The following is a 14,930-nucleotide window of genomic DNA, read 5'->3' as shown; positions in this document are numbered from 1 at the left end:
AACAAAAAAAGGAACTTAGGTAAAAACTAAGGTGTGGAATAAAGTGAAGACTTTAGTTACTCATAATATATCAATATTGATTGGTTCACAAATCATAACAAATGTACTACAGAATGTAAGGTGTTGATAATCGGGAAAACTGCATGTAGGGTATATGATAACTCTATATTAGTTTCACAATTTTTCTGTAAATCTAAAGCTGTCCTGAAAAATAAAGTCTATTTTCAAAAAGCATTTGGGAAGGCAGGGCACTGTGGCTCATGACTGTAATCCCAGTACTTTGGGTAGCCGAGGTGGGCGGATCGCCTGAGGTCAGGAGTTCGAGACCAGCCTGGCCAACAGGGTGAAACCCCATCTCTACCAAATATACAAAAATTAGCCAGTCATGGTGGCCGCATCTGTGGTCCCAGCTACTTGGGAGGCTGAGGTGGAAGAATCACTCGAGCCTGGGAGGCAGAGGTTGGAGTGAGCTGGAATCGTGCCATTGCACTCCAGCCTGGGTGACAGAGTGAGACTCCATCCCCCAAAAACAAAACAAAACAAACAAACCAGAAAGTATTTGGGAAGCTTAGAGAATAATATCCAGCAAAGTAAGTAATAAATAAACAAGAAAATAAGGATCTTAGAGGAAGGAAAGTAAGATAAATCAAGGGATGAGGTTAGAATACTAAAATGCATGCCTTTAAGTGACTACATCTTTGTTAGAGTTAGCTGTCAGTGTGAGTCAGCTGAATTGAAAAAGCTTTGCAGATTTGTTTCTTAGAACATCCCCCAGGGCCTGAGGTTGGAGGGCAGCAGCACAAGGTTGGAGGGAGCTGAGCTGGGCCAGCTGCACAGGAGGTAATCTATAAGTGATATTATACACACCACCACCACCACCCCCAACCCGCCCCCTGAGGCCTGAAAACATCACTAGAATTTCTATTTACCTGAGCTTCTTACCTGAGCTCTTCTCAGAGGGATGTGGTTAAACAGAACTACTTTGACAAACCACTTGGTCAGGGGCGGATAAAACTCCCCAACCCACAAACACACGTCTAAGAAGTCAGAGTCTGGTTACCACAAGGTCATTGTTTGCTGGGGCACTGATCCAGCCGTCCTCTTTCTCTGCCTTTCCACTCAAATAAATGTTGGACAGATTTTTTTTTTCTTTTGAGACAGAGTCTCGCTGTGTAGCCCAGGCTGGAGTGCAATGGCACAATCTTAGCTCACTGCAACCTCTGCCTCAAGCGATTCTCCTGCCTCAGCCTCCGGAGTAGCTGGGACTACAGGCGCGTGCCACCATGCCTGCCTAATTTTTTGTATTTTTAGTAGAGATGGAGTTTCACCGTGTTAGCCAGGATGGTCTCGATCTCCTGACCTTGTGATCCTCCCGCCTCGGTGGACGGATCCCAAAGTGCTGGGATTACAGGGGTGAGCTACCGCGCCCAGCTAATGTTGGATAGATTTTTAAATAATTTTGTTTTGAGGGAGACTAAATTCCTGGTTTGAATGGAGAGTCAAATAATTAGCTTACTAAAGGCATCTACATGTTTATCAGCTCTTTGTACTACCAAAGTATAATTCAGTAAAAGCAATTCTAACAGTGACCAAAAAACAGGACAAATTACTCTCCCTTGCTATTGGTCTCAAATGATCCAAGGGTACAGTTTAGGCTATCAGCATATTCTTCAGGTGCCCATCCAAGGATATACTTTCTCTTAGCTGATAAGAATAGGGCACCAAAGAATTTAGAGTTACGTCTTCTGGCAAATGAATATAATTTGTACTGCTGATTATGTATAGATCCATACGTCTGATAATCAGCAAGTCAACTGAGGGGTGGACAGGGTTGATATCTTCTTATTAACACTAAGGAATCCAACCAGGACTAACCAACCACATCCACATGGAGATGGGCCGACAGAGTCCTTGTGAACGGTGCCAAGATTTTCCCTAGAAGACAGTTATGGGAAAACTGTGTGGCTCACGCCTGTAATCCCAGCACTTTGGGAGGCCAAGGTGGGTGCATCACGAGGTCAGGAGTTCGAGACCAGCCTGCCCAACATAAGTGAAACCCTGTCTGTATGAAAAATACAAAAATTAGCCAGGCATGGTGATGCGCACCTGTAGTCCCAGCTACCTGGGAGGCTGAGGCAGGAGAATCACTTGAAACCGGGAGACGGAGGTTGCAGTGAGCCAAGATCATGTCACTGCACTCCAGCCTGGGCGACAGAGCAAGACTCCGTCTCAAACAAAAAACCAAAAACAAAAAATAGGTCTGGGCCTGTTCTACAAGGGCAACTGAGCTTAAAATTCATCACTATGAAGGGGTTGCAAATATCTTAGCCTAAAATAATTTCAAGGCCCAGTGCGGTGGCTCACACCTGTATCCCAGCACTTTAAGAAGCTGAGGCAGAATTCCTTTAGCCCAGGAGTTGAAGACCAGCCCGGGGAACATAGTGAGACCCCATCTCTACAAAAAATTTAAGAAATGAGCTGGGCATGGTGGCACATGCCTGTGGTCCCAGCTACTCAGGAGGCTGACATGAGAGGATCCCTTGAGTCCCGAGGCTGAGGCTGCAGTGAGCCATGATCACACCCACTGCACTGCAGCCTGGGTGACAAAGAAAAAGCTTGTCTCTTTCTAAACCAGGAGCTAGAAATCATCTATCATAGGTAAGGGGAGACAATTTTCTACAAGCTAATTTTAATCACTGTAACTTATTGGGGAGCTTCTAATATAAATGGACTGCTGTTCTGTCTCTTCCACAGGTTTGTATTGCTTCAGGATCCTTTAATTATCCATGTTTTCTAAGTAAGTGCTTTGCCCTTGGATCCCTTTATAAAGTGGAGAGACCACATCCATATTCATTGCTCTACTTCACCTGCCATTTGTTCGGTGATGACAAACAATCTATAACACTGGGCTGATTTTTAAAATAAATTAATAAGTATTTTATTGATATATAATATTTCCACATATTTATGGGATACATGTGATGTTTTGTTGCATGCATAGAATATGTAACGATCAACTCAGGGTATTTAGGATATCTAGCATTTTGAGTATTTATTATTTCTATGTATTGTAAACATTTCAGATGATCTCTTTAAGCTATTTTGAAATATACAATACATTGTTAACCATTAGACTGACTTATCTTTGGAGTTATAGACCTGCATGACCAGTATCATCATGGATATCTTTACCTCTTTACCTGAAAGTCTCTTTGATGTTTTTTGTTTTTTGTTTTTTTTTTTTGAGTTGGAGTCTCGCTCTGTCACCCAGGCTGGAGTGCAGTGGCACAATCTCGGCTCACTGAAACCTCCACCTCCCGGGTTCAAGCGATTCTCCTACCTCAGCTTCCCGAGCAGCTGGGACTACAGGTGCGTGCCACCACGCCTGGCTAATTTTTTGTATTTTTTGTAGAGATGGGGTTTCACCGTGTTAGCCAGGATGGTCTTGATCTCCTGACCTTGTGATCCGCCCGCCTTGCCCTCCCAAAGTGCTGGGATTACAGGCGTGAGCCACCACACCTGGCCTCTTTGATGTCTTAATGTTACAAATATTCATAATTTCAGTTGAACATCCATTCCTCTAAAATCCTACCAGAATCCTGGGAGGTAATTAAGATTCCTTCCTGGACGGGCACGGTGGCTCATGCCTGTAATCCTAGCACTTTGGGAGGCCGTGGCAGGCGGATCACAAGGTCAGGAGTTTGAGACCATCCTGGCTAACACAGTGAAACCCCATCTCTACTAAAAATACAAAAAATTAGCTGGGTGTGGTGGCAGGCGCCTGTAATCCCAGGTACTCGGGAGGCTGAGGCAGGAGAATCTCGTGTACCTGGGAGGCGGAGATTGCAGTGAGCAGAGATTGTGTCACTGGACTCCATCCTGGGCAACAGAGTGAGACTTCGTCTCAAAAAAAAAAAAAAAAAGATTCCTTCCTTTCCCTCTCTATGCACATCACTCCATTCCTTCCTTTCTAATTCCACTTTATGAATAGATCTTGAGTTTTTCCTTTTCGTACGTGGTGGCTGCCTCATTTCTTCATTAGGTGATTGCAAGTTTCCTAATTTACCACTTTGGTCTTGCTCTTCTCTAATCTATATCCTCCAAAATAAAGTCAGAGTTTTTAGAAATTTTTCTAAAAGTTAACTTTTTTGATTCTGTAACATATGCATAAGGCTCTAAATTGAAATTTACAAAGGGTAAACAGAGAAAAGTCTGCCCCTTGCCCCTGACTCTTAGTCACCTAATTTCTCTTCCCAAATATACCCACAGCTACCAATTTTGGAGAAAATAATTTATTTCTAAATTGCATCTACTGCACATCTTTCCATGACTTATCACTCTACAAGATAATGTCCAAACTGAGAAGCACATGAGGCATTTCAGGATTTCGTCTATTTAACTTTAGTGGGTTTACCTCTCATTTCTTCTAACAAGTCCCTCTGTACGTCAGATTCCAGCCCCTGTAACAATTAGCTCTTCCCTAAACAGCCTACTTCCCTCTGATTTTCTTTTTTTTTTTTTTGAGATGGAGTCTCGCTCTGCCATCCAGGCTGAAGTGCAGTGGCGCGATCTCGGCTCACTGCAACCTCCGCCTCCCGGGTTCAAGTGATTCTCCTGCCTCAGCCCCCCTAGTAGCTGGTATTACAGGCGCCCAACACCATGCCCAGCTAATTTTTTTATTTTTAGTAGAGACGAGGTTTCACCATGTTGGCTAGGCTGGTCTCGAACTCCTGACATTTGGTGATCCGCCCACCTCACCTCCCAAAGTGCTGGGATTACAGGCATGAGCTGCCGTGCCCGGCCCCCTCTGTGATTTTATATCTGCTCTTTTTCCTACCTGGAATGCCTTCCCCAAGTTCCCTCCATCCCCCATGCCACCTGTTTCTCCCTTTACTTTTTTTTTTTTTTGAGATGGAGTCTCGCTCTCTCACCCAGGCTGGAGTGCGGTGGTGCAATCTTGGCTCACTGCAACATTTGCCTTCCAGGTGCAAGCGATTCTCCTGTCTCAGCCTCCCGAGTAGTGGGATTACAGGTACACACCGCCATGCCTGGCTAATTTTTTGTATTTTAGTAAAGACAGGGTTTTACCATGTTGCCCAGGCTGGTCTCGAACTCCTGAACTCAGGCAATCCGCCCGCTTCGGCCTCCCAAAGTGTTAGGATTACAGGCATGAGCCACTGCACCCGGCCTTCTTTACTTTTTTATTTTTATATCTTTGAGACAGGGTCTCACTTTGTCACTCAGCCTGGAGTGCAGTGGCATGAACATGACACACGCAGCCTTGACCTCCTAGGCTCAGATGATTCTCCCACCTCAGCCTCCTGAGTAGCTGGGACTTCAGGCAAGCACCACCACGCCTGGCTGATTTTTTGTATTTTTTGTAGAGATGAGGTCTCACAATGTTGCCCAGGCTGGTCTCAAACTCCTGAGCTCAAGTGATCCTCCTGCCTCAGCCTCCCAAAGTGCTGGGATTACAGGCGTGAGCCACTGTGCCTGGGTGGCCTCCCTTTTTTTGTGTGTAGAAAACATCATCTCTTAATACTTCTCCATAAACAGATTCAAGTTAAAGCTTTGGCAGACCTCCACAGGTAAAGGTTATCCTGACCTCTCATAACGGACTTTAGCACCATATATGTTTTTATTTTTATTCATTTTTTAAGAGATAGGGTCTTGCTCTGTCACCCAGGCTGGAGTACAGTGGCATAATCATAGCTCACTGCAGCCTCTACCTCCTGAGCTCAACTGATCCTCACACCTCAGCCTCCAAAGTATCTATGACTGTAGGTGTGCACCACCAGACTCAGCTAATTCTGAATATTTTTTTTTTGTAAAGACAGAATCTTACTACATTGCCTAGACTTGTGTTTTTATTATAGCACCTATAACATTGCTTTGTCTCCTATTAGAAGGCAGAGCCATGTTCCTTTGTTTTTTGAGTCCCTAGGATCTAGCAAACTGCCCAGTACATAGTGTTTGTTTAACAAAACTAAAATATTAGTTACAATGTAGCTACAAGTAAGCCAAGGAAATATTAGGCTGCATTAATAGTGGTGTAGTACTCAGAAGTTTTAGTTCCAGCCACCATATTTAGAGATAGTCACTGGAGAAGTTTAATATCCACCTGGCAGTGTAGAGTCTAGTAATGCTGTAATGCTGTAATGACCTCCGAGGAGGCATCTGCTCCCTTACAATGTCTAAAGGGCTAGAGAGGAAGCCGCTAACTGCTAACCACACAGCTCCTCCATGAGGCTGGACATTCTCCACCACAATGTTCGTATGTCTTCATCAGTGCTGAGATGTACTGTAATTTATTTGTACTGATAAAAGCTACAGTGCTTAAGTTTGCAAACAATTTACTTTTTCCCTACTTTTTTTTTTTTGAGATGGAGTTTCAATCTTGTTGCCCAGGCTGGAGTGCAATGGCACGATCTCAGCTCACTGCAACCTCTGCCTCCGGGGTTCAAATGATTCTCCTGTCTCAGCCTCCTGAAAAGCTGGGGTTACAGGCACACACCACGACACCCAGCTAATTTTGTATTTTTAGTAGAGGTGGGGTTTCTCCATGTTGGTCAGGCTGGTCTCGAACTCTTGATCTCAGGCGATCTGCCCGCCTTGGCCTCCCAAAGTGCTGGGATTACAAATGTGAGCCACTGTGCCCGGTCTGCTTTTCCCCCACTTAAACTAGAAAGGAGTCAAGTTACTTCTATAGGCCAGGCTTGGTGGCTCATGCCTGCAGTCCTAGCACTTTGGGAGTCTGTGGTGGGAGGATCGCTTGAGGCCAGGGGTTCTAGACTGGCCTCTTTAATATAGGGAGATCCCCATCTCTACAACAAATGAAATAAAAATAGTCGGGCGTGGTGGTGCGTACCGTTAGTCCTAGCTACTCTCTCGAGGCTGAAGTAGGAGGAATGCTTGAGTCCAAGAGTTTGAGGTTACAGTGAGCTGTGATCTAACCACTGCACTCTAGCCTGGGCAACAGAATAAACGCCTGTTTAAAAAAAAAAAGTTACTTCTCTAATGTAACTCCTGCCCACTTATATTCCAATACATTTTACTGAGATGGGGTAGAGTTACAACAGATAGGTCAGGAAACTGGGAGTAAGCCAGGGTCTACCTTATCTTTGCTTCCCCCTGGTAGAATGGTGAGTATGTAAATATTATCTCTCCTGGATGGGTGGGGGATGGTGGAATATAGAGGACTGCTACTGTAGACCATGAGCTCTTTCAAGGTAGGGACTATGACTTTTCATTTTTTAGAAAAATGTAATTTTCTATAGCGTCTGGCAGTTAACAAAAGCTTGAAGAATGAAGGAAGTGAACATTTGGGGATAGATCAATGGGAGAATGAAAGGAAGACAGGGTGGAAGAAAATGTGACAAAAAATTTAAAAAGGTAATTAAGAGAAAAAGCAAAGGAATACAGGAGGCTTCTTAAGACAGTAGTCTTTTTTTTTTTTTTTAATTTTTTTTTTATTTTTTATTTTTTTTTTATTGATCATTCTTGGGTGTTTCTCGCAGAGGGGGATTTGGCAGGGTCATAGGACAATAGCGGAGGGAAGGTCAGCAGATAAACAAGTGAACAAAGGTCTCTGGTTTTCCTAGGCAGAGGACCCTGCGGCCTTCCGCAGTGTTTGTGTCCCTGGGTACTTAAGATTAGGGAGTGGTGATGACTCTTAACGAGCATGCTGCCTTCAAGCATCTGTTTAACAAAGCACATCTTGCACCGCCCTTAATCCATTTAACCCTGAGTGGACACAGCACATGTTTCAGAGAGCACAGGGTTGGGGATAAGGTCACAGATCAACAGGATCCCAAGGCAGAAGAATTTTTCTTAGTACAGAACAAAATGAAAAGTCTCCCATGTCTACTTCTATCCACACAGACCCGGCAACCATCCGATTTCTCAATTTTTTCCCCACCCTTCCCGCCTTTCTATTCCACAAAACCGCCATTGTCATCATGGCCCATCCCCAATGAGCCGCTGGGCACACCTCCCAGACGGGGTCGTGGCCGGGCAGAGGGGCTCCTCACTTCCCAGTAGGGGCGGCCGGGCAGAAGCGCCCCTCACCTCCCGGATGGGGCGGCTGGCCGGGCGGGGGGCTGACCCCCCCACCACCCTCCCAGACGGGGCGGCTGGCCGGGCAGAGGGGCTCCTCACTTCCCAGTAGGGGCGGCCGGGCAGAGGCGCCCCTCACCTCCTGGATAGGGCGGCTGGCCGGGCGGGGGGCTGACCCCCCCACCTCCCTCCCGGACTGGGCGGCTGGCCGAGCAGAGGGGCTCCTCACTTCCCAGTAGGGGCGGCCGGGCAGAGGCGCCCCTCACCTCCTGGATAGGGCGGCTGGCCGGGCGGGGGGCTGACCCCCCCACCACCCTCCCAGACGGGGCGGCTGGCCGGGCAGAGGGGCTCCTCACTTCCCAGTAGGGGCGGCCGGGCAGAGGCGCCCCTCATCTCCTGGATAGGGCGGCTGGCCGGGCGGGGGGCTGACCCCCCCACCTCCCTCCCGGACGGGGCGGCTGGCCGGGCAGAGGGGTCCTCACTTCCCAGTAGGGGCGGCCGGGCAGAGGCGCCCCTCACCTCCCGGACGGGGCGGCTGGCCAGGCGGGGGGCTGATCCCCCCACCTCCCTCCCAGACGGGGCGGCTGGCCGGGCGGGGGCTGACCCCCCCCACCTCCCTCCCGGACGGGGCGGCTGGCCGGGCGGGGGCTGACCCCCCCACCTCCCTCCCGGATGGGGCGGCTGGCCGGGCGGGGGGCTGACCCCCCCACCTCCCTCCCGGACGGGGCGGCTGGCCGGGCAGAGGGGTCCTCACTTCCCAGTAGGGGCGGCCGGGCAGAGGCGCCCCTCACCTCCCGGACGTGGCGGCCGGCCGGGCGGGGGGCAAGACAGTAGTCTTACAAACAGTGAATTGGATTCGGTTTTTAACTCAACATGAATGGAAAAGAAACAAAACCAAAATTAAAACACTGAGCAATTAAAGCTGCTTTAAACAGAGACTATGGGAAACTGGATAAGATGATGTCTAAGTTTCTATCCAATTTTTTGATCTATAATTCTAGGTTTTATCTCCCCAACAATGCTTTTAAGTGTAAATGCCATTTAATGACTATTTATTAAATAGAATTATAATCTACAACAGCACAAAGCAGAAACAAACTGATGTTTCTACTAAAAAAAAAGGTTATGTTACTTTCTTGAGTTTTCATAGTTTCACGAAGAGACTGGCAAATGGATTTGCAAAACTCAGCTTCAGTTTGTTCCTTGCAGCATGCTCAGTGAGTGGTACACAGCTGAGGTACTTTGCTATCTTTTCCTTTTTTTTTCCCCCTATGGGCACTCTCCCACCCTTGGGCCTGGGAAGAGATGTTGTCAGATCTTTTTCTTTCAGGTTAGAAGAAATGGCAGAACTTTCCTGGGTTAAATTCTAGATATAATAAAAACTTAAAGTAATTTAAGGTGCTATTTGGGGAGGGGAGGGAGTTTAAGGTTCCCTGCCCCACACGGGAATCCAGAGAGCTATTTCTGTTTTACAGAGATCCAAAATCCAAAAATTCTGCTTTACAGAGATGCCTTGTGTAGAAACTCAAAAGTCAAACAGATAAAAGTGAAAAAGCCAGACACCAAAAGTTAAAACAGTAACCACTACACCACCTGCCCCCCAAATACATCAGTAATCAAAGATTTCTTAACTTTTTGCCCTTCAAACAATGTGCAGTCCTCAATACAGTAGGAACTTGATTAAGGCTAGCTGGAACTGTTCCCTGCTTATCTGGTGTAATTCTAAGCTCAAAGGCAGAAACTTTTGCTTCTCCTGCAATATCTTCCTCGGAACAAAACAGTGCCTAATGCATGTTACTTTGATTTCAGAAACAGAGAGGAGAAAATCAGGAGAGTTGGGTAATTGATTTTTGTGGGATTAAAAATGACATTTTTAGTTTTTTTCTTTTTTTATACTCTTTTCATGAAGGTAAATTTTGTTTTTTTGGGCCATTGACACTGGCCCAATGCTATGACATTCCAAAATTGAGAGAATATAAACTTTTTAAAACAGAACACTTGATTTTGACTACTAATCAGAGGAGTGGAATTGAGTAACAAACTCAAACATTTTATGAAAAATAAACAGACTTTATGCTATGGTATGGTTCCATTTATGTTTATATAATAGACTAAGTATTACTCATTACAAGTACAATAAATATTTGTTGATCCGGTTGATGTAACCGTAAGCCTTGTTCTCTCTCAGTCCAGTGAAAGTATACATTTTACTGATAATCTAAAAGTATTAATTCCTATACACCAAAAGATCTGCGTATCATCCCCCTCTTGGAATACACATTCACTTGCACATATCCCCAGCCTGCTCCTCGCAACAGAGCTTGCTTTGGGGAGGAAATTTCAGGATCACCTCCAGAAGAAAACACCGACAGCGCTCCTAGAGCCATCGTGGTGCCCTCTAGCAACTTACGGGCTCCAAGCGAAAAAAGAGCTCGGGTTGGTGCGGGGGGGCGGGGAGCGGGAAACTCCATCACAGACGCAAGTGAAAACTCCTGCGGCTTCTAGATTCCATCCGAGAAGGAAAGATGAAAATCAAGGTTAGAAAGCAGTGGCAGGGCGGTGTCCCCTGCCTTGCTTTAATTCACGCGGCTCTCGTAACAAGCCACAGATGTGCATCACTCAAGCGGGCTTCCCAGTCCTCATCTCCCCTCTGGATGGTCTTCTGCGACCGCAGAGTGGTAGTTAGGGAAGATCGCAGCGGGCAGAAACTCCGCCAGGGGAGAAAGGAGCCTGGGGGCGACGGTCCGCCTAATCGTTCCAGGAAGCCCCTCCGCGTGCCGGTGGGCGGGCGCTCAGGCCCGAGGATGCGGGGCGAGGAGGCGGGTACTGGTGATTCTCCTGGCAGCCCCCGCCCGCCCCGCCAGGGGGAGCGTCTGCGCCCGACGTAGGCTGCGGGGCCTGGGCTGGCGGCGCAGGGCGGTGACTCGGCTCGGTGGCTGCCCTCCCGCGTCCCCACCCCCTCCCCGCCCGCCCCCGGCGCGGCCCTGCCCGCCCCCTCCGCCCCCTCCCGCAGCGCCATGCGCAGACTCAGTTCCTGGAGAAAGATGGCGACAGCCGAGAAGCAGAAACACGACGGGCGGGTGAAGATCGGCCACTACATTCTGGGTGACACGCTGGGGGTCGGCACCTTCGGCAAAGTGAAGGGTGAGAACCCCGCGGGACTAGGCTTGGCCCCAGCTGAGGAGCCGCACGACTTCCGCTTTCCGCACCTCTTCATCCTCCCCCGCCCGCTGCGTCCCTTCTTTCCAGGGCTGGGCAGCCCCTGTCCCGGATCCTGCGGGAGCTCTCCCCAGCCGCCGCGGGGCTGCGGCGCGGCCAGCACAGGCCGGGTGGGGGTGGGGGTGGGGTAGGGGCCAGTCGCCATGGCGACGGCGCCGCGGCCTGAGGGGCTGGTAGGTACGAGGGGCTGGGATGCGAAGGTGCAAACTTTCCCAGGTGGGGCAGGCGGGCGGCGCGGCGCGCTCTGGGTGCTGGGAGGGGGCGCCGGGCGCGATCCCCGGGGAGGCGGCATCTTGTGCGCCCGGGTTGTGCTCCCTTGGCTCAGGGCCAGCCCATCGCTTCCTTGGCGGTCCTTGGCGTTGTCGGTATTTCCGTCCTCTGTAGGAGGCTGTCGATTTACCGGCCCCTGCTGTTTCCCGAGTGCGAAATGTGTTTCCGCAGAAGTAAGGTTTCTTTGTGGGTAGCCGACATCATTTTTTTTAAAGACCATGTCGTCGGAAAGGATCACTGGTTTCCTTCGGAGCAGTTAATGAGTATAAACTGGTTCAGTATTTGCGATGCATGGTTTACGTTCTGAATGAGACTGTGCCTTTAGTGTTTCCGAATTAACAGGAGTTTCTCCGTGCGAAACTTCGTTGTTAGTTCAGATGTTGCCTCCAGATAGTATTTATTACTTTATTAGTACAGTTCATTTCCACTTATTTTCAAAGGTTATTTGTATTCTAATAAACTCTTTAAGTGCACATCATTCGAACTTTTGTTTTAAGAAAGGTGTATTGGGTGCATTGTACAGCATTCGGGTGACGGGTACACTAAAAGCCCAGACTTCACCACTATGCAGTTCATCTATGTAACCAAAAGCCACTTGTACCCCTAAAGCTATTGAAATTAAAAGAAAAGTGTGGACTCTTTCAAAACACTATTCTGGAAATAAACTTGCTCTACAGTCCACCAATTCTGGCAAAAAAACGTTTAATTGCAAGTTTTGTAAGGCATGATTTTTTTTTTCTTTAACATATTTGACTTTGTTATAAGGGATGCAGAGAAAGGAAGTTTGGAACTGATAAAAATAATTCATGCATTGGCTTTGGATAAATAATAGACTGACTTGCATATACTAAGTTCTTGGTAAATATTTGACTTGAAAGAAAAAAAGTTTGCCAAAGTCTGTACGGTAACTCAACTGAGCCTTACTCTTCCAGAGCTAAATAAACAGTTTCTGATTTTATTTAGGGTTAGAAGAGAAGAACGCTTCCTTCTCTTGCCATTTTCTGAGTCATAGAATTGGAAAATTGTTGTATATCCCACAGGGAAGCAACTGCCTGAACCTTCTTATGAAAATCTGCAAGGCGGACAATGTCAGGAGGAAGTAAGAAGCAAATGCCAGAATTGGGTAATAACAGCTATTAGGACAGGTCCATATAAGGCCAGTAAGATGTTTCTGTGCCATGGAAGTTTTAACTTTATCTTTGGCTATGATATTTCTTGTTAGCAATTACAAACTGCTTTTTAGTTTACAAGTGTTTGTAAAAAAAAAAATGTTCATTTTTGCCCCCATCCCTTCCCAGAGTTCTGCCTGGATTAGGGTGTTCATCATTCCCCTAATATAGACTTGAATGCTTGAATAAAGTCAGGTCTATTTTTTTTTCTTTTTTCTTTTTTCTTTTCCCGAGATGGGGTCTTGCTCTGTTGCCCAGGCTGGAGTGCCGTGTGGTGTGATCTTGGCTCATTGCAACCTCCGCTTCCTGGGTTCAAGCAGTTCTCCTGCCTCAGCCTCCTGAGTAGCTGGAATTACAGGCGCCCACCACCACACCCGGCTAATTTCATATTTTTAGTAGAGATGGGGTTTCACCATGTTGGCCCGGCTGGTCTCGAACTCCTGACCTCAGGTGATCTACCCACCTCAGCCTCCCAAAGTGCTGGGATTACAGGCGTGAGCCACTGTGCCCGGCCAGGTCTGTTTTCGTATTTGCTAAGTGGTTTTTGGCATGGCAGGTAGTAAAGCAGGAAGAGATTTTTCATCTTCTGGATTTGATCTGTGATATGGCTGTGACACGAATGTCTCCAGTGACTTTGCTGTTTCTTAACCTTCACTTCCCCACCCACACTAACTTCTCTTGGAGTACCATATTCTGTTAAAGTCAACAAACTCTCCAAATGTACAAAGGCCAATATTAGTCCAAGGATCATAGGTTTCATAGATATGGTTAAATTTGTTCATGATCACATTTGTTGATGTTGATCAGAATCTTTAACCTGTTCATTTTTTAAGTTAACAGTTGGGATGCTTTTTGCCACAAGTAATAGAAAATCTAGCTTTGCCTAGTAAAGAACTTATCTGTGGTTCTCTTTCCACAGATAAGTCCTTCCAGCAGGGAAGGCCAGCATATCTCTTATGAGTCTCATTGGCTCATCCAGTCCCTCTGGCTAGGAATGCCATGTGCCAGTTGGCTTATGCTTGTATTCCTAAGCAGGCATTAGCAAGGGGGATGGCATTGCCCTTGGAGGAGTATGACCCACCCTTTGATGTGTGTGTGCAACAGAGGTGGGTGGGTGGGAGACATCTTTTTTTTAAAATTTGTTTTATTTTTTAAATTTTTCTTTAAGTTATTGGGGTACAGATGGTATTTGGTTGCATGAGTAAATTCTTTAGTGGTGATTTGTGAGATTTTGGTGCACCCATCACCTGAGCAGTATACATTGCATCATATTTGTAGTCTTTTATCCCTCACCCCTCTCCCACTCTTCCCCCTCAAGTCCCCATAGTCCACTGTATCATTCTTATGCCTTTGCGTCCTCATAGCTTAGCTCCCACATATCAGTGATTAGAACATACTGTGTTGGTTTTCCATTCCTGAGTTACTTCACTTAGAATAATAGTCTCCACTCTTATCCAAGTCACTGCAAATGCTGTTAATTCATTCCTTTTTATGGCTGTGTAGTATTCCATTTTGTGTGTGTGTGTGTGTGTGTGTGTGTATATATATGTATACACCACAGTTTCTTTATCCATACATTGAGTGATGGGCATTTGGATTGGTTCCACGATTTTGCAATTGTGAATTGTGCTGCTATAAACATGCATGTGCAAGTATCTTTTTCGAATAATGACTTCTTTTCAGAAGAGATTGCTGGATCAAATGGTAGTTCTACTTTTAGTTCTTTAAGGAATATCTACACTGTTTTCCATAGCAGCTGTGCTAGTTTACATTCCCACCAGCAGTGTAGAAGTGTTCCCTGTTCACCCTTTTCAACAAATTGTGCTGGGATAATTGGCCAGCCACATGTAGGAGAATGAAACTGGATTCTCATCTCTCAACCTTATATAAAAATCAACTCAAGATGGATTAAGGACTTAAACCTAAGACCTGAAACTATAAAAATTCTAGAAGATAACATTGGAAAAACCCTTCTAGACATTGGCTTAGGCAAGGATTTAATGACTAAGAACCCAAAAGCAAATGCAATAAAAACAAAGATAAATAGATGGGACCTAATTAAATTGAAGAGCTTTTGCACAGGAAAAGGAACAGCAGAGTAAACAGACAACCCACACAGTGGGAGAAAATCTTCCTAATCAATACATCTGAAAAAGTACTAATATCCAGAATCCACAATGAACTCAAACAAATAAGTAAGAAAAAACAAATAGTCCC

General features: G+C 46.5%; 1 protein-coding gene across 8 annotated transcripts in view, besides 4 other annotated features; it reads left to right on the top strand.

The window, feature by feature from the left end:
- Positions 6,862 to 7,354: a transcriptional cis regulatory region, noted in NCBI's record as "candidate enhancer chr5.1161 targeted for multiplex CRISPR interference". NCBI's record gives its function as "positively regulates PRKAA1 gene expression in K562 cells {active_cell/tissue: K562}" and the evidence as "EXISTENCE:mutant phenotype evidence [ECO:0000015][PMID:30612741]".
- Positions 7,360 to 8,181: an enhancer, noted in NCBI's record as "OCT4-NANOG-H3K27ac-H3K4me1 hESC enhancer chr5:40801183-40802004 (GRCh37/hg19 assembly coordinates)". NCBI's record gives its function as "activates a minimal SCP1, AML or CMV promoter by ChIP-STARR-seq in primed H9 embryonic stem cells {active_cell/tissue: H9 hESC(primed)}" and the evidence as "EXISTENCE:reporter gene assay evidence [ECO:0000049][PMID:30033119]".
- Positions 10,729 to 11,068: a silencer, noted in NCBI's record as "silent region_15984". NCBI's record gives its function as "represses an Ori minimal core promoter by ATAC-STARR-seq in GM12878 lymphoblastoid cells {active_cell/tissue: GM12878}" and the evidence as "EXISTENCE:reporter gene assay evidence [ECO:0000049][PMID:35858748]".
- Positions 10,888 to 14,930, top strand: part of PRKAA1 (protein kinase AMP-activated catalytic subunit alpha 1) — a 38,986-nt gene continuing 34,943 nt past the window's right edge. For 5 of the 8 annotated variants that reach the window (NM_001355036.2, NM_001355029.2, NM_001355035.2 and 2 more), the window contains exon 1: positions 11,085 to 11,199. Coding sequence is in view for 3 of the 8 variants with exons in the window: in NM_006251.6 (NP_006242.5) it covers positions 11,073 to 11,199 (127 nt within the window). In the remaining 5 variants the exon portion in view is untranslated. Of the gene's footprint in view, positions 11,200 to 14,930 lie in introns of all 8 variants that reach the window. The other 3 variants (NM_006251.6, NM_206907.4, NM_001355034.2) reach the window with 1 other exon arrangement.
- Positions 11,349 to 11,558: a silencer, noted in NCBI's record as "silent region_15983". NCBI's record gives its function as "represses an Ori minimal core promoter by ATAC-STARR-seq in GM12878 lymphoblastoid cells {active_cell/tissue: GM12878}" and the evidence as "EXISTENCE:reporter gene assay evidence [ECO:0000049][PMID:35858748]".

This window comes from Homo sapiens, chromosome 5 (genome assembly GCF_000001405.40).
Source record: "Homo sapiens chromosome 5, GRCh38.p14 Primary Assembly".
NCBI classification, from domain to species: Eukaryota; Metazoa; Chordata; class Mammalia; order Primates; family Hominidae; genus Homo; species Homo sapiens.
This window is presented reverse-complemented; position numbering and strand designations above follow the sequence as displayed.